Source organism: Homo sapiens, chromosome 8 (assembly GCF_000001405.40).
Source record: "Homo sapiens chromosome 8, GRCh38.p14 Primary Assembly".
Lineage (NCBI taxonomy): Eukaryota > Metazoa > Chordata > Mammalia > Primates > Hominidae > Homo > Homo sapiens.
Genome location: NC_000008.11, coordinates 130046037 through 130065257, shown reverse-complemented (window position 1 = coordinate 130065257; position 19221 = coordinate 130046037). Strand labels below are relative to the sequence as shown.

Genomic DNA, 19221 nt, shown 5'->3' with positions numbered 1-19221 from the left:
GACCCTTCCAGACCCCGCCCTGTGTGTCTGTTCATCTGGCTGTTTATCCTTTAAAATATCCTTCTTAGAGCCAGGAGCTGTGGCCCTGAGAAGGCTCAGACCTGTAATCCCAGCGCTTAGGGAGGCTAAGGTGGGTAGATCACTTGAGCCCAGGAGTGGAGACCAGCCGGGTAACATAATGAGACCTTGTGTCTACAGATAATAATAAAAACAAAAATAGCTGGGCATGGTGACACAGGCCTGTAGTCCTAGCTGCTTGGGAAGCTGAGGTGGGAGGATAGCTTGAGCCTGGGAGACCGAGACTGCAGTGAGCTGTGATTCTTACACACACACACACACACACACACACACACACACACACACATTCTTAGTAAACTGATAAACTTAGGTAAGTGTTTCTTTGAGTTCTGTGAACCACTCTAGCAAATCAGTCAAACCCAGAGGGGATTGTTGGAACCCCAGTTGAAGCCAACTGGTCAGAAATTCCAGAGGCCTGGGCTTGCGACTGGACAGGAAGGTGGGAACATTCTGGGGGACTGAGCCTCAAGCTGTGGGATCTAACGCTGTCTCCAGGTAGATGGTGTCAGAATTGGATTGGAAGACACCTGGCTGGTATCCGCTGCTTGGTGGTGGGGTGAGACCCCCACACATTTGGTCACAGAAGTTTTCTTCTGTGTTGATGATTGTTGTGGTGTGAGAGTAGAGGGAAAAGCACGGTTAGAGGAGCAAGTTTTCCCCACACAGTGTCTGACAGGCTTCTCTACTTAAAACTGGAATACGGACTCCGGCTCCATTCCAGACTGTTCCTTCCTCAGTGTCCCCGTCTGTTAAAGGCAGTGTCATTCTTCCAGGTGTTCAGGCCTTAAAGCCTGAGAGAGGTGCTTAGCTCTTCCGTTTCTCTCACACACCACATCCTGTGCTTGTACAAATACTGTTTCTTCCCCCTTCCACATCTATTTAAAACCCAGTCACTTCTCATCATCTCCACCGTTGTCAGCTAGGATCAAATGAGCATCATCTCTTGTCTGGACAGTTGGAGCCTCCTACCCTGTCTGCCTGGAGCCTTCTAACCTGGTCCTGCAGTCTGTTCTCAACAGAACACTGGAGCCTTCCACATTCAATCATGTCACTCCTCTGTCCTGAACCATCTGGTGGTTCTTCTCGCAACCCCCACCAGATATCAGCATGGCTGGTGTCCAAGCCTCCTGCACATTTTTGACGCACTCTTGCCATATCAGAGTGGCCTTCCCTGACCACACCCTCCTTGGTGGTCACTCTCCTCCTCCCCACCCAGCCAGCACTCTTTTCTCCCTTCCCCTGCTTACCTGCCCTCACCCTCTGGTAACTCCATGTTTACTTGTCACCCTCTCGTGGAATGTGAGCTCCCAGCAGGCAGGGCCCTAGTTCTTTCCATCAGCTGTGTCCCAAGTGCCTGAAAGGGTGCTGGGCACGGCACATGCCCAGCAAATAGGGGTGGAATGGTAACCCTTTTCCTGTAAGTCTGAACTATCCTTGGGCTAGGAATCGACCATCTCTTCTTACTCACTTTGTGATGTGGGAGGCTCCACGGCCTCCCTCGGTATCTTGGAAGATGGGGATGATGGTGATATCCACATCGCGGGGCTCTTAGGAAGATGAAGCTACGTCATGCAGCAGGTCTCAAGAAGGCCAGTCTCCTCTCTTTCCCTGCCCTGTAGTCCCATCTCTCTCCTGCCCAGAGTTGAGTCACCTGGGCCAGTGTACCCTGAGGCCCTGGCCAGCCTTGCCTCTTCCCCTCAAGGGTCTCAGACTGGTGCCAACAGTCACATTGTCACACCAAAGCCAGGAGTGCGGAGAGAGGATGTGGAACAGGGTCTAAATACCTGAAGCTGGGGACAGCATGGCCCTGCACGTCTCTACTAAAAAATTAAAAATTAGCTGAGTGCGGTGGTACATACCTGTGGTCCTAGCTACTCAGGAGGCTGAGACAGGAAGATCATTTGGAGCCTGGGAGGTCAAGGTTGCAGTGAGCCCTGATTGCACCACTGCACTCCAGCCTCAGTAACAGAGGGAGACCCTGTCTCAATAGAACTAAAAAGAAAAATAAAATAAAAACTACCTGAAGTCTTACCACCCAAGATAACTGATGAGTTAGTGTATATCTTTCATCTTTTTTTTCTCTGCTCTTCTTTAAAGTTTCTGTTTAAGCTAATATTTTTCACATAATAAAAACATTTTTCATGCTATTAATTATACAACAGTATAATTTTTATTGGCTACATATCATTGTTGTTTGTTGGTTTATTGAGACAGAGTCTCACTCTGTCACCCAGGCTGGAGTGCAATGGCACCGTCATAGTTCACTGTAGCCTTGGACCCTGGGCTCAAGCAATCCTCCAGTCTCAGTCTCCCGAGTAGCTAGGACTGCAGGCATGTACCACCACACCTGGCTAATTTTTATTTATTGTCCATACAATCCCCTGCATTCAGATGGGTGGCATTTTTTTCGTTATAAGCAGTACTGTGCCAAACACTCTAGCACAGACATCTCAGTGTATGACTTTGATCACTGTTTTAGGATAAATTCCTAGAATTGGAGCTGCAGGTGAAGAGGGTGGGGTATTTTGAAGGTTTTCCATGCCTGGCACTTAGAGTTTCTCTTGCCCCATCAGTGTGACTCACAGCCAAGGCCTTTCTAGCCCCACCACCTCAGGGATTCCCCCTAGCTTTTTCCCTCTTGACTGCCTGGCTCAGATTGTTTCTTAGCCAATTTCAGACTTCCAAGAGAGGAACGAGATTCATGTAAATTAACTTTTAGAGCCAAGCCACCTCAGCAGAAGCTTAGGGACCAGCCTGTGAGCAGGGTGCCCCTTGATTTTGACTTTTTTAGAGATATGACTAGACAGGTCATGAGCAGAAACAGCCCTAGTACAGCCTGTGACATTTACAACATGAGGTTTATCTGTTTCTTCTCCTTCTTTAAGAATGTCTTTCTGAATACGTTATATTTTTAGGATCAAATTCCTAATGTGAGTCACTCAGTGTGCCTTAGTCAGCTGTTTCCTCCCTGAGTGCAGGCTATGTCCTTGGCCCTTGTGCCAGGAGCCAAAGTTACAAAAATGAGTAAAACAGGAATGTAATACTGTAATAGGGCCTTAAAGAACCCTAACAGTGATGGTAGTACTACTGCATAATGCTTACAGCCTGCCAGGGCTTGTCAGTAAATTCTTTGCATATATTAACCCATGTAATCTGCATGCCAACCCTTTGAAGTAGGGTTTTAAGAGATCAGTAAATTGCAGCATAGAGAGGTTGTGTAATTTGCCCAAATTCACACAGCTAGTAAGTGGTGGAGCTAAAATTGGAGACATGTCCATAGTTTTCTAAGTACCAAGAGCTGTACAAAGAGCTATGGAAATGGGTCAACAAATTGATACATTTCCTAAGCTGTGCATACTGTGCAGCCATTAAACAGAATAAAAAAGAACTGATTTGGAGCTTTCCTAAACATAGTAAGTGGGAGAAAAGCAAAGTTTCAGACTATGTATCCCTTGTATGGTTTTTAAAAGACATAGCACACGCGTGTGTATCACCAAAATGTAACAGAGGTTAACCCGAGACAGGGGCACAAAGTAGAAGAAGCCTTTTGCTACCTCGCTTATATACTGCATGAATCATGTAAAATGGGGAGAAATAATAATAAATTATGATACAGCTATAGAATGGAATAGAATGCACCATTCAAAATTACATACAACTAGTAAATAATTTTTAATAACATGACAAATACTGTTGCTAAAATGGTATTAGATAAAAGCAAGTAAAAGTTATATCTATAGAAAATATATAGGAAAATTAAAAGGAACTATATAAAAGAATTTTAAATGGCTACATTTAGGTGTTAGGCTTAAGAACTCTGTACTTTCCGATTCTCTGCAATCTGTTTCTATTTATTTTTTTTAATTCTGGATGAATGTAGACATCCTGTTCTTATATAATTGAAGCATAAAATCATGAATTGTAACACTTTCCAGGCTTTCAAACTTTGTCTTTGTAAAACTGCCTGGGTGGGCCTGGCCCCTGAGTTCATCCATTTCAAGTGCTCACTATAGGTCAGTTCCCTTCATGATGATGGTGCCTCTTTTAGGTGACTGACAGGAAAGCAGCCCTTCCCACCAATGACCTCCTTGTTTTTGATTGCTTCCACAGTGGCACTAAGGAAAACAGATCATCTCTCCCTAGACAAAGCCACCATCCCGCCCGAAATCTTTCAGAAATCATCACAGTTGGCAGAGTTGCCACAAAAGCCACCACCTGGAGACCTGCCCCCAAAGCCCACAGAACTGGCCCCCAAGCCCCAAATTGGAGATTTGCCGCCTAAGCCAGGAGAACTGCCCCCCAAACCACAGCTGGGGGACCTGCCACCCAAACCCCAACTCTCAGACTTACCTCCCAAACCACAGATGAAGGACCTGCCCCCCAAACCACAGCTGGGAGACCTGCTAGCAAAATCCCAGACTGGAGATGTCTCACCCAAGGCTCAGCAACCCTCTGAGGTCACACTGAAGTCACACCCATTGGATCTATCCCCAAATGTGCAGTCCAGAGACGCCATCCAAAAGCAAGCATCTGAAGACTCCAACGACCTCACGCCTACTCTGCCAGAGACGCCCGTACCACTGCCCAGAAAAATCAATACGGTGGGTGGGACAATGTTCAGGCCCTTAGGAACCCTATTCCGCACTTTGCAAGTTGGTGGGAGGGCAGGTGCTCCAACTTACACAAGAAAAAGTGAGAGCTTGCTCACCTGACCCTTATGTGCTCTGGTTCAAGCATGATGGTGGATTAGAGCCTGTGGGTTACAAACCCAGGCTTTAGGCTCCAGCAGACAGGCTTCAAGACCTGGCTTCAGTGCCTGACATAACTGCACAACCTTGGCAAGTTACTTTCTCTGAGTCTTACTTTCTTCACATACAAAAAGGAGCTAATACAATATTTGAGCTCACAGATGATTAAATACAGTGACAAATGAGCAGCACTTGGCTGGCACCTAGACCACTGAGCAAGTAGTCACTATTACCTAGGAACCTTGAGGATGAAACTTTTCCTTTCCTGAGGGTCACGAGAAACCAATTTCCCTCTCGGGGTTCTGGGTATTTTCTCTCTCTCTCTATTTTTTTTTTTTTTTTTTTTTTTTTTTTTTGAGAAGGGCTCGCTCTGTCGCCCAGGCTGGAGTGCAGTGGTGCGATCACAGCTCACTGCAGCCTCAGTCTCCTAGGCTCAGGTGATCCTCTTACCTCAGCCTCCTGAGTAGCTGGGACCAAGGTACATATCACTACGCCTGGCTTTTTTTTAATATTTTTGGTAGAGATGGGGTTTTGCCATGTTGCCCAGGCTGGTCTTGAACTCATGGGCTCAAGCACTCCTCCCATCTTGGCCTCTCAAAGTGCTGGGATTACAGGCGTGAGCCACTGCACCTGGCTCCCTGAGTTGCTAAGTCAGACTTTCTCGCTGCATCTTCCTAAAGGAATTGGAGATAAAGCTCTCGATATAATAGAATAGCATAGAATTTTGTAGAAATCTCATATTCTGTCATTTTCATGAAATGTTTCCTACTCTATATCCAGAAGTTCTCCCATTGCACATGGCAGCTCTACCTGCCTCACATTCTGTTATAAAATGTTACAGTACCCAGCACTTTGGGAAGAGGCGAGTGGATCGCTTGAGGCCAGGAGTTCAGGGCTGCTGTGATCACACCACTACACTCCAGCCTGGGTAACAGAGCAAGACCCTGTCTCAAAAAAATTAAAATGGGGCTGGGTGCAGTGGCTCACATCTGTAATTTCAGCACTTTGGGAGGCCAAAGTGCGAGGTTCCCTTGAGCCCAGGATTCATGACCAGCCTGGGCAACATACAGAGAAACCGTCTCTATAAAAAATAAAAATTAATTAGCTGGGCATGGTGGTACATGCCTGCGATCCCAGCTACTTGGGAGGCTAAGGCGGGAAGATTGCTTGAGCCCTGGAGATCGAGGCTGCAGTGAGCGTAATCATGCCACTGCACTCTAGCCTGGGCAACAGAGTGAAACCCCGTCTCAAAAAAAAAAAAAATTTAAATGTTGCAGTAAAAGTGTGTCATATCAATACTTAAATTAAGAAAAATAAAACCCATCTTCCTGTAGGTTGGAGGCTGCCGTGTCTGATGGTGGATACTTCTGCTATTCAAAAGGGAACTCTCCCATGACTCCCAAGCACCACTGATGCAAAATTTTCATTTCATGCTACACACTATATAGTTTTATTATGTCATTTAATCTCTGTGTTATAAATTAACACACTACAGGCCTCTCAGTTGCTCACGCAGTCACTGCCACAGTTCTGCCAGGCTTCTCCAACCCACCCGCACGGCCCAGAAGGGAGCTCGGAAAGCAGCTGGAACTATCAGGGTGATTAAAGGAGAAACCAGGGGACAGAGAGGAAGAGGCACTCCACCCAAAACATTTAAAGAGACAGCTTGCTTTTTTTAAAATTGCCAATTAGCCAGGTGCAAAACAAAAACCCATCATTTAGAAGGTGATACCTCTATTTTCACTTTTCTATTTGCAAAGAACTGGAAGTTCAACAAATAAATGCTCAAATCAAAACTAATCAAAAATTAAAACTGTTTTAGGAACTGCATAGACTTCTCCGAGCCCCAGGCCGATCCTGCTGTGTTTAACCAGCATGTACTGACTTGCTGTTTTGCATGAGGGGACTGACAAATTTGTTTATGCTGCACATTCATTATGCAGAAGCTGCAGATTTTGCTTTACATCATGTTTCCTAAAAACATTTTTAGACTCTGCTGTCATTCTGCAAGCTGATGTGGGTTGGGGGTGCGTACAGAGTGCTTGATGGTTTTTGGTGAAGCTCAATTTTGATCCCTACCCATAGTGTTTGCTTTCTGGTGAAAATAACTTGATGATGCCCAATCACCAATGCAGGGCCACCCTGATGATGGGGGGAGAGGAAGGGCCTGTAGTTAAGAGTACACAGTATGCTGGGTGCCTGACAGACACTCTTCTTCCCGCCCTTCAAGGGTGAGGAAATCAAGGCTCAGCGAGGTTAAGTTACTGGCCAAGGTCAACCATTTTACAAAGAACCGCTGCTCTTTTTTTCCATTCAGTCCATTCTTTCAATTAAAACCCAGTTTCTTTCTTTAAGGGGAAAAATAAAGTGAGGCGAGTGAAGACCATTTATGACTGCCAGGCAGACAACGATGACGAGCTCACATTCATCGAGGGAGAAGTGATTATCGTCACAGGGGAAGAGGACCAGGAGTGGTGGGTACGTACGAATATCCATCCACTTCATCCGTACATTCATACAGCATGCCTGGGCAGGCACCACATTGGAGCCTACAGACAGTGCAGTAAAAGAGGGCTCTTGAGCACAAGGACCCTGTCAGCTGCATCACTCACCCAACAGCCATTGCATTTGGTGTCTTTTCTATGTCACACACTATTACATGCTAGAAAAACAGCCGTGGAGCTGGCCGGGCACAGTGGCTCACGCCTGTAATCCCAGCACTTTGGGAGGCTGAGGCGGATGGATCTCGAGGTCGGGAGTTCGAGACCAGCCTGGCCAGCATGGTGAAACCCCGTGTCTACTAAAAATACAAAAAATTAACTGGGCATGGTGGCACGCACCTGTAGTCCCAGCTACTCGGGAGGCCAAGGCAGGAGAATCGCTTGAACCCGGGAGGCACAGGTTGCAGTGAGATGAGATCACACCACTACACTCCAGCCTGGGCAACAGAGCGAGACTCCATCTGAAAAAAAAGAAAAACAGCCATGGGGCTTTGAAGACAGGTCAAGAGAATTAACATTTGTATGTACTTTACCCATGGTATCATGTAACCTTGTGAGTTGTAGGCATTTTCTGATTTTTCATATAAATACTAAAGCGGAAGAAAGTTGAGCATGTTGCCTGTGGTCCCTCAGCCAGTAAGCAGGCTAAGTCAAGATTCCAGATCGGCCCTGACCCCAGAGCCTATGTGCTTTGCTCACCATTCCACACTGTCCCCAGGCTGGGAATCAGAATGCCCAAGTTCCTGCTCAGGCTGAGCAGTTGACAAGTCCTCAGACTCAATTCTTAATCCAGTCTGCAGTTCTTTCTTTGTCAAATAGGCCAAGACACCTTCTCCACGTAATTTTAGGAAAAGATTAAATGAAAATATCTATGAAAACTCCTTTTACATTAAAACCTGCAGCTCAGGCATCAGGAGGGAAAGACATCAGCATCCTCATAGGCCCTGCTAGGTACCCAGGCTGTGAGTGACCTGCGAGGGCAGTCCACACATCTATTGGTTTTCACGTTGCCAGGGAGTAAGTCTCCCGATGGGAACTGCCAGGCCAAGGTACAGTGAATAAGCCACCTCTTCTGCTCTCCTTGTTGATCATTTCCTGACATCAGGGTGAAAATTCCCCTTCCTTGGCAGCCTGAGCCCCGTCCTGCCAAGAGGGACTCAGTTCTGTCTGCCAGGAAGGGACCTGAGGCTCGCAGTTGAGCCAGCAGTACCTAAGAATACCCAGAAATACATATGTATATACATGTGTGCACACACACATAGGCATGGGCACACATTCACCTTTGACTTTTCTTCCTTCAGGCCTAGACAGTGACCTCAGATTCTTAATCACAGCTGTAGGGATTTTGTTTGGACTCAACTGGGGCAATTTTGCCCTCCAGGGACATTTACAATATCTGGAAATATTGATTGTCAGGACCTAGGAAGGGGGTTGCTACCAACAACTAGTAGATGGAAGTTTAGTGGCCAGGGATGCCACTAAACATCCTCCAGTACTCAGGGAGCCCCCACAAGCAAGGATGCCAGTAGCACCATGGTTGAGAAACTGGACTGAAGGGATCAGCCTGGGGAGGCCCAGGGGTACCTCCAGCCTCTGTCAGCAGAGTGGGGCCAGCCCCTGGCATGAAGCCTGTCAGAGAGTCCACTTCATCTCATGACGAGGAGGTGGGCTCTGAAGCCCCCCCACGTGAATCAGTTACTAGCTCTATGGGCCTTGGATAAAGCATGTCCCTTCTGTAAGCCTCACTTTCCTCTGAAAAATAGGACATGATTAATCGTTTCTCACAAGGATGTTGAGGAACTCACTTTGTAATCTGTTAATATTATTATAATCAAGCAGTGATCATGTTCTTTGCTAAGCAACTGATGACTACAGCAGAGATACCTGCGGGGAATGGGAAGCTGTCATTGGTGTCCCTAGCATCATTCCTAGGGGACATTGTGTGTGCCACCATTACGTGCCTCGCCAGATGTAAAGATGGTGCCACACACACATGCTAACTGTGATGTGAAATTCACAAAGACCTCACACATGCATGATGCCAACTAAGACCACACGCGGTGGGTGGGCAAGCCTTCAGGAGAGCTGGGCAGGCCTGGTTGACTCTGTTCCACTCTTAAAACCACCTTCCTCTCTATCGATTTGGCATTGGAAGCCAATATGCACGATTTTGTTTTTTCTATTGAAGGCCCATTACATGATTCTCTTTAGTGCAATCAATACTAATCTAATTGAGGTAATTAGAAAATTTTTACAGGTAACTGGCTTACAGGCCAATGCAGCAGACAATAAAATTGCCATTCGCCACCATCAGTCTCAAACTTTCACAGTATTCTTCCTCCACGGTAACCAGAAAACAAGTGATAGTACATAGCAGCCTTTTTTTTTTTTTTTTACTGGCTAGAACAACACTTTACTCACAAAGAGAAGAGACAGAACAAGATTAGCTTTGATTTGAGTATGGTACCCCGCAGTGGGTCTTGCCAGGCAGCTGACACAGCTTAATGGTCTGTATGCATCCTACCTGGGCTGTGGGCAAAGAAACCCCTTCCTTCCCAACTAGGAATAGGTAATAGTACTGGGATTGGCCAGGTGCCATAGCAGCCTTTTCATTTGCTTTTTTTTTTTTTTTTCTTTTTTAAATGTATCACACAAGCCTGGAGAGAAGGGATTTTCTTTAGCCCCACTTAACAGAGAAAAGGCTTAGCAAGGTTTGTGTGAGGTCACCCAGCTGTAAAGGCAGCCAGGCGCCCTGGTTCAGAGCAAGGACTCTAGAGCCCCACGCCTGTGGGAGAGCATGTCACCTCTCTGGGCCACTGTCCCTTCATCTGTAAAATGAAGATTGTAAACTGTATAAGAAATATCCACCTCAGGGGGTTGCTGTGTGGGTACAGCAAGATCCATGTAGAATGCTGAGCATATTGGAAGTTCTGTCGTTTGCTCTTTCCTTATGTAGTTTATGACCGTTAAGCTCTCTGTAGTTCACTAAAGGGTGGGAAGAAGGGTAAGCCTGGGATTCCACCGCCAGGTCTGTGGGCAGACTAGGCTGGGCTCTTACCCACTGGGTTTGTCGTGGGGCCACTGCCTGCTGCCTCCATCCTGACCACTCTCTTTTCTCCCTGCAGATTGGCCACATCGAAGGACAGCCTGAAAGGAAGGGGGTCTTTCCAGTGTCCTTTGTTCATATCCTGTCTGACTAGCAAAACGCAGAACCTTAAGATTGTCCACATCCTTCATGCAAGACTGCTGCCTTCATGTAACCCTGGGCACAGTGTGTATATAGCTGCTGTTACAGAGTAAGAAACTCATGGAAGGGCCACCTCAGGAGGGGGATATAATGTGTGTTGTAAATATCCTGTGGTTTTCTGCCTTCACCAGTATGAGGGTAGCCTCGGACCCGGCGCGCCTTACTGGTTTGCCAAAGCCATCCTTGGCATCTAGCACTTACATCTCTCTATGCTGTTCTACAAGCAAACAAACAAAAATAGGAGTATAGGAACTGCTGGCTTTGCAAATAGAAGTGGTCTCCAGCAACCGTTGAAAGGCATAGAATTGACTCTGTTCCTAACAATGCAGTATTCTCAATTGTGTTACTGAAAATGCAACATTAGCAAAGAGGTGGGTTCTGTTTTCCAGGTGAAACTTTTAGCTCCATGACAGACCAGCCTGTAGTTATCTGTGTACACAGTTTACAGCTACAAAAACCTACTTTGGTATTTATTACAGAAAAGTGCTCAGTTAAATGTAAGTGTTATTCCTTCAGCAAAATATTCACTGACCCAAAACTCTTTATGGCATTTTACAATGCACACAGCCTCATGCAAGTTTAGACAAGTGGATTTATACTGTCTTATGAGTGCCCGCCCCTGATATATTACCTCATTATGCAAAAATAACATATCTTTCATGACTATTTTGACAAAAGTTTAAAACACATATGAAGTTCAAATTTCAGGAACCAAGGACTGCCAGAAAATATTAGCCTCTACATTACGCATGCATTTAGAAGCTTACCTGAAATCTGCCTTTTATAAAGGAATAGTATGGATAAGTGGAATTGTACATTTTTTAAACTTGATTGCCATTAAAGCAGAAATTATAAGGTTGCAACAATATTTGTTTCTAATCACTGGCTTTCTCAAGAGTATGGATTGACATATTGTGTTATGAATGCACATCTCTCAGATGTGTTGAAGCATCCATTGCATCCATTTTTTATTATTTTCTTAGTTTTGTTCTTGGACAAATTTAAACTTTTAAAAGATTATTCAAGATGAATTTAAAAGTCAACCCTTCACACAGTTTCCCTACTGTATGTAGAATCCAGGTGCTGAAACCAAGTGTTTCTTTTCCCATGCTCTTTGTTAAACCCCAATTATAGATAATTTTTCCAGTCTTAAGCTCTGTCCACCTTCAAGTCAATTCATAACCAAGTTTTTGAACGCTGCTATGAATTGCACTGTGAAAAGCACTCTTCCCTCTCAGTTTTCTTTTCATCCCAGCCATGTTTATCAGATCCTTAAGAACATTGTATTTCAGTCTTTTACATCAGTCTGAATTTTGGAAAAGAATGCAATAGTTGTACTCCACAGTCAGTGGAACTGTTCCCTGAGTCCGAGGCTCATGTGTCATTCTGGCACTACATTTGCTTAAATTGCTATTTTGGCAACAGCACAGAAAACTAATATTTTTAAGCAGAGAATCTTGGCAATGAGTGAGAGATGTTAATTTCACAGAAGCACAACTCCCAACCCAACCCTTAGGAAAAGCCCTCTTCCATCGTTACAGTGCTCAGTGAATATTAATTTAGTTCTGCTTAAGTGGTTGCTATACAAACTTTGAATAGCCACCTAATAAATAAACCTTGCATGACAAACCTGCAAAATATTTTATCAGCTGTTATTGGAAAGTGATTTTAAGCAATTGCTTCCTCAGTGTCAGGGCACATGTGAATTTCCACACCAAACAGAGCATGAGGAACCAGTTGACATGCTGGGTTGTGACTGGCAGCTTTAGCAGCCTCGGTACTGAAGCCACACCAGTGTCCGGATGGAAGTCTGCATCTGAGGTTGCTCAGTGTCCCGGTCATTCATTTACACATTTTAACTTGCATTAAAGAGCTGTTCTTTTCTGTGGCCTAGACTCTTTTCACTGATCTCAAAATAAACTGGTTTTTTTCAAAAAAAAAAAAAAAACAAAAACAAAAAAAAAACACAAAAGCTGCATGTCTAAAATTACATGGAGTTAGTGTCTATTCTTTTTCCCCTTTTGCAGCAACTTACACAGCATTTTTAACACCTTTTTTTTCTAGTTTTTTTGTTCGGTTTTGTTTTCCATCAGGAATTTGAGTTCTCTCTAACCCAGCTTACTGTGGGACATAGGAAAACTCAGTAGAAATACCTTTGGTGATCTTGTTGAGTTTAAGTCTGATCTTGATCTTAAACTCAGTAAGCCACTATCTGCAATTTTGTACATTATATAGTATTTTGAAGATATGGAACCTTATGAAAAAAAAATAGCAAATTAGTTCTTTTTCCCCCAGAGGGGAAAGTTATGTTCTGCAAATAGTGTGTGTCTTATTTTACTGTTGAACAGCAATTGCTATTTATTTTTTTATTGCCTAGAACTTCAACATGTTGTATAGGAATCCTGTAGTGCCACTAGTTAAATGCCGAATTCTCATCTGGATGTTACCATCAAACATCAGTACACTTGTCATTTCACATGTGTTTAATGTGACAGTTTTTCAGTACTGTATGTGTTAATTTCTACTTTTTTTAATATTTAAAATTGCTTTTAAATAAACATATTCTCAGTTGATCCCAAACTTCTGAAATCAGGCCATTTTGTGAGTTGTTCACTACCCTGCTGACAGGAGAGAATCAAGGCTTCCTCTGGCTGTGCTTTCGGGTATATAGATGACACAGGTCACTCCAACCCTTGTCAGAGATCACTCTGGATACATAAAAATATGTGGCACTTGCCCCGGCTTACAAACTGTGGGCCTTCGGCCCCTTTCTGTCCTCCACCTTCCGCATTCCACCTCCACCACGTCCACTTGTGCGCCCGTTGATGTGAACAGGGCAAGAAGAGGGTGGAGGGGCACGAGGCTTACATGTTGTCGTGTGGACAGCACTTCTGTCACGTAGCTGTCACAACTAGTGCTGCCACGCAGTGGAGCAGACCTGGCCCAGGCACTCTGCCTGCATTAACCCCTGAATCCTTAGCAAGCCCAGGAGAAGCGTGAGCCCCTCAGCTTTACAGAGCTGACAAATGAGGCTCAGAGGCATTCATTCACACACAGGAGACATGTGGCTTGTAAATCACTAAGGTGGGAGTGCACACAGGTGGTTCTGGCTCCAAGGCCATCCTTGCAATTCCCACTGCCTGGAAGACACTCTCCTTTATGGAGAACCACAGTGGCGGAAAGCAGGCCGAGACTGCGGCAGGGAGGATCCCGAAGTGCTGGTCTCAGCATTCCTTCTGTCATCTTTCATGGAAGTTGGTAGACATGGCTGGGCACGGTGGCTCACGCCTGTGTTCCCAGCACTTTGGGAGCCTGAGGCGGGTGGATCACCTGAGGTCAGGAGTTTGGGACCAGCCTGGCCAACATGGTGAAACCCTGTCTCTACTAAAAATACAAAAAATTAGTTGGGTGTGGTGGCTCACACCTGTGATTCCCAGCTACTCGGGAGGTTGAGGTGGGAGAATTGCTTGAACCCGGGAGGCAGAGGTTGCAGTGAGCGAAGATCACGCCACTGCACTCCATTCTGGATGACAGAGCAAGACTCTGTCAAAAAAAAAAAAGTTGGTAGACATAATGTGCCTGTTCATAGTCCAAGACAAACCCTTTAAACACCGTGCTACCGGGGAAAATGGGCTTGGGCATGGAAGCCAGCGGCTTTCTATCGGGATATTTCTGGGAAAAGCTAACATAGTGACCTGGATAATCCAGGGGGAGGCGAAGCCAGCTTTTTATCTGATGACAAAATGTTCTTTCACATCGGTTGTATGTGGTTTTAAGCCTGGAACAGTATCTGTTTGGAACTGACGTCCCCCTTCACCACCCCCTGACTCCGTTGAAAGCAGCCCCTCCCTTTATCCACCAGCCCCCGACAGCCCAGCCTCCAAGGTGAGGCCAGGAGCTGGAGGCTTACCCCTGTCTCTCCACCTCAGGTCCTTTGAGGGCTTACTGTGCTTGGGCCCATGTTTCCTTTACCTGCGTTTAGTCTTTGGCAGGGCGCGTGACACCGTTAGGCACATTACCACAGTTGAGTGATGGGCAGCCGTGTGGACCCAGGTCCTTGTGGCCCCAGCCACAGCCCCCTACTCTCCACACCCTTGTTCTTCTCCCCTCCCCTAACCTTGTGCCCACTTTTCGTATGTGTTTTTTTCTTTTTTTGTTTTTTTCTTTTTTGTAGACAGGGTCTTACTTTGTTGCCCAGTCTGGCCTCGAACTCCTGGGCTCACATCATCTTCCCACCTGAGCCTCCCAAAGTGCTGGGATTACAGGAATGAGCCACCATGCCCAGCCTAGCCCCCCATTGGATACTGTTTCAGGCTTGAATGTGTGTGTGTGTGTGGCAGGGGTGCAGTGGTGGTGGGGATGATCATTACTGAGATCATTCAACCTATTCTCCTCTGCCCCCCATGTGTTCCCCTCTTCCCCCCGTGTTCCCCTCTGCCCCCCATGTGTTCTCCTCTGCCCCCCATGTGTTCTCCTCTGCCCCCCATGTATTCCCCTCTGCCCCCATGTGTTCTCCTCTGCCCCCCATGTATTCCCCTCTGCCCCCATGTGTTCCCCTCTGCCCCCCATGTGTTCTCCTCTGCCCCCCATGTGTTCTCCTCTGCCCTCCATGTGTTCTCCTCTGCCCCCCATGTATTCCCCTCTGCCCCCATGTGTTCCCCTCTGCCCCCCATGTGTTCCCCTCTGCCCCCCATGTGTTCTCCTCTGCCCCCCATGTATTCCCCTCTGCCCCCATGTGTTCTCCTCTGCCCCCCATGTGTTCCCCTCTGCCCTCCATGTGTTCCCCTCTGCCCCCATGTGTTCCCCCTCTGCCCCCATGTGTTCTCCTCTGCCCCCCATGTATTCCCCTCTGCCCCCATGTGTTCTCCTCTGCCCCCCATGTGTTCCCCTCTGCCCCCCATGTGTTCCCCTCTGCCCCCATGTGTTCTCCTCTGCCCCCCATGTGTTCCCCTCTGCCCTCCATGTGTTCCCCTCTGCCCCCATGTGTTCCCCTCTGCCCTCCATGTGTTCCCCTCTGCCCCCATGTGTTCTCCTCTGCCCCCCATGTGTTCCCCTCTGCCCCCCATGTGTTCCCCTCTGCCCTCCATGTGTTCCCCTCTGCCCCCCATGTATTCCCCTCTGCCCCCATGTGTTCTCCTCTGCCCCCCATGTGTTCCCCTCTGCCCTCCATGTGTTCCCCTCTGCCCCCATGTGTTCCCCCTCTGCCCCCATGTGTTCTCCTCTGCCCCCCATGTATTCCCCTCTGCCCCCATGTGTTCTCCTCTGCCCCCCATGTGTTCCCCTCTGCCCCCCATGTGTTCCCCTCTGCCCCCCATGTGTTCTCCTCTGCCCCCATGTGTTCTCCTCTGCCCCCCATGTGTTCCCCTCTGCCCCCCATGTGTTCCCCTCTGCCCCCATGTGTTCTCCTCTGCCCCCCATGTGTTCCCCTCTGCCCCCCATATGTTCCCCTCTGCCCCCATGTGTTCTCCTCTGCCCCCCATGTGTTCCCCTCTGCCCCCCATGTGTTCCCCTCTGCCCCCCATGTGTTCTCATCTGCCCCCCGTGTTCTCTTCTGCCCCCCATGTGTTCTCTGCACCCCATGTATTCTCTGCCCCCCCATGTATTCTCCTCTGCGCCCCCCAATGTGTTCTCCTCTGCGCCCCCCCAGTGTGTTCTCCTCTGCCCCCCATGTGTTCTCCTCTGCCCCCCCATGTGTTCTCCGACCCCATGGAAATCTTTGATTCTCCTCATTATGCAGTCTGTGGGTAATTTGGAGTGAATGGGCTCACATCTCTAGCAGGGGTGTCTGAGCACGTGTCCCTCCCACAGAGGCCTGGCCTCTCCAGCCAGCTGCCTGGGATGGAGGTGAAGTCCACTAAATTAGGTCACCTTACTCTTACACACCTGAGGCTCACATGGTCCACAAGCATTCCATTTTTGTCTAGACAGTGCCAGGCCTTTGGTTGCAAAGACAGCCCCATATTCTGTCCCTGAGAAGCGGAGAAACACAGGTAAGTAATGATGACTGTAGAGTTCACCTGGCAGGGAGCTGCCTGAAGAAAGGAGCGTAGCTCATCCTAGGAGCCTGCACAGATTGAGCTCCTGCAAAGCTGCTGGGATGGGGTGGCATCCCTGCAACAGATGGAGCAGACAGGAGAAGGAAACGGCAGACTGAAGGCAGGCAGGACCAGCCCCAAAGTCCCTGTGCTGTGCTGAGGAGCACTCTGTGCAGGCGGATCCGTGGACCACCAGCAGCTCATCATACTGAGGCCTCCACGGGGGCTGAGCACCAGGCCAAGCGCTTGAGCAGCACGATTGCAGTTCTCTCAGCAGTACTGAGAGGCAGGGACTGTTACTTTCCCCGTTCACAGATTAGGAGACTGATACTCAGAGCAGCTGAGCCGTGGCGTGCCAAAAAGTCAAGTCACTCATGAAGGGTGGAGGCAAGAATTTTGAGCCCTGACATCAGGGTTCAGCCATGGAGCTCCTGGCCACAACCCTCTGCTGCCTCTTGGCTGCTGCTGGTCAAAGCTGGCCTGTCCCGGCCCTCTACCATTAGGTCAGCACCAGGGAGGGGTGAACCATGAAGGGCAATGAAGTTCCGGATTCGGAAATTAAGGCATTTGCCAGAGGGCCCCACAGCGAGCATTTCTCATAACATGTCATGGACAGCCACTGTGCACTTGGGAGCTAGAGGTGGAGCTGGCACACAGGGTGACTTGGTGCACGTACAATGTGAGTGACTGAGAAGAAAGCAGAGTGTGCATGTCTGTGTGTGAGCACAGCAGCCCGTACACAAACACTTGAGCTCCTGAACACCAGAATTAAAGCTCAGATAAACAGCTGTTTTGCAAAATCTTACCACATAGCAAACCCTGGTCTGAAGCTCAGGAGGCCAAAACTTTCACCTTCTGCAAAACCGCCAGGGGAGAAGCCTTATTTGGGTTCACTCTTCAACAGAACTTAAAACTTTATAGCTCTGAGAAAATATGAGGGCACAAGATGGCAAATGTGTCACATGCACACTGGCCTAAAATATATTAGGGCCAGGTTTTCACATTTTGGCAGCATCACCTGAGGTCCCCAGTGCCGGCAGATTCCAAGTCTCAGGAAGGGCTTGAGAATCTGCATTTAGCCAGCGTCCCTGGGTGGGGTACTCAGGTCGCTCCTGGGCCACCTTGAATCCCTGAGACTCTGGAACTGACACCACAAGGGAGGATTACCTGGAATCCATACAGGGGCACCTTCTAATAGTGGAGAGAACCCTCATCCTGGGCTCGGTACTTACAGAACTACAGCTCTTTTTCCTGCTATGTTAAGATGCAGTGAAAAGACCACAGAAGCCAGGTAAAGTGGCTCACGCCTGTAATCCCAGCACTTTGGGAAGCTGAGGCGGAAGGCTCACTTGACCCCAGCATTTGAGACCAGCCTAGGCAACATGGTGAGACCTCATCTCTATGGAAAACTTAAAATTAGCCGACGTTCTGGTGCACACCTGTGATCCCAGCTACTCAGGAGGCTGAAGTGGGAGGATTGCTTGAGCCTAGGAAGTCAAGGCTGCAGTGAGCCATGATCGCACCACTGCACACCAGCCTGGGCAACAGAGCAAGGGATCCTGTCTCAAAAAAAGAAAAGGACACACAAGTTGGAGTTTGACAGGCCTAGTTGACCTTCTGCTTTGGTCACTTACCAGCAAATGTGCGCAACATTTATTGAGACGCCCACGTGTGAACAGCCATCTCTAACCTCAGGCACATGGACTGAGCTCTGAGCCTCAAGTTCCATTAGATGTGACACAGCTTGGGAGTCTGTGGGCTGGAAGGTGGAACAGTGCTCAGTGACCCGCCCAATGCTGTGTGACCATCTCTATAAAGCCAGACACACACTGTCCATGCGTAGCCACTGGCTTCTCCGTGCAGTGTGAACTGGATGCAGGGCCTGGGACTTTCATCACCTGCAGCACAGCTTCTGTTCATCCCTAAGGGTGGCAGCTTGGTAGCCTGGCTGGGCCAGCCACAGCCATTTGTTACCTGGGTCCAGAGGGATAGGATCAGGGGAGGGTAAGAGTCTGGACTTTGAAATCAGAAAACAATGTGCTGAGCCTTAACCTCTTCAAGCCTCAGCATTTTTCCTTTGCCCAAATGGGATAATGGTAGTCTTAGTATCATAGAATTGGTGTGATAAATGACATCACTGATGTGACGGTACATGTAACATGCTTGTCCTAGTGCCTAACACAAAGTAGCACAGAATACTAATCCTCAGCACTCACCACTTCAAAAATGATGAGAACTTGCACACTGACCACCATGTGCAAAATAGAATAATAAAATGACTAGAACTTTGAAAACTCCTCACCTTCCCCGGTGACAAGTGATAAATTAGAGACATAAACCTCCTCCATGCTTGACCTGCAGTTGGTGATCACAAGAGTATTTCTTGAACGAGTGAGCACATGAAACCGGTCAAAAATAACGAGCAGAGCGCCCGCTGTTGAAAGGGGCGGAGTCCAGGGAGTCACATTAGCTGCTCTCCTTTCAAAAGCATGGGCAGCACCCGCCCCCAACCGAGGGCCAAAGCCGGGGAGCCTCTGAGCCACAGTGGCTCTACCCACTTACGCTGCATATTGCTGACTCCCACCCGGGAAACAGGCTGCTTGACAATGGAC

At 47.7% G+C, this 19221-nt stretch overlaps 1 protein-coding gene across 23 annotated transcripts in view, besides 1 other annotated feature; it reads left to right on the top strand.

Annotated features, from left to right (window-relative positions):
* Positions 1-13154, top strand: part of ASAP1 (ArfGAP with SH3 domain, ankyrin repeat and PH domain 1) — a 391571-nt gene extending 378417 nt beyond the window's left edge. For all 23 annotated transcript variants that reach the window (XM_047421810.1, XM_047421806.1, XM_017013468.2 and 20 more), the window contains 3 exons: positions 4189-4679; positions 7182-7304; positions 10453-13154. In XM_047421810.1, coding sequence (XP_047277766.1) covers positions 4189-4679; positions 7182-7304; positions 10453-10527 — 689 coding nt within the window. In that variant the 3' untranslated portion in view covers positions 10528-13154. The remainder of the gene's footprint in view (positions 1-4188; positions 4680-7181; positions 7305-10452) is intronic.
* Positions 10054-10256: a silencer, noted in NCBI's record as "fragment chr8:131067248-131067450 (GRCh37/hg19 assembly coordinates)". NCBI's record gives its function as "represses an EF-1alpha promoter that drives an FKBP-Casp9 reporter gene in an ReSE screen in K562 erythroleukemia cells {active_cell/tissue: K562}" and the evidence as "EXISTENCE:reporter gene assay evidence [ECO:0000049][PMID:32094911]".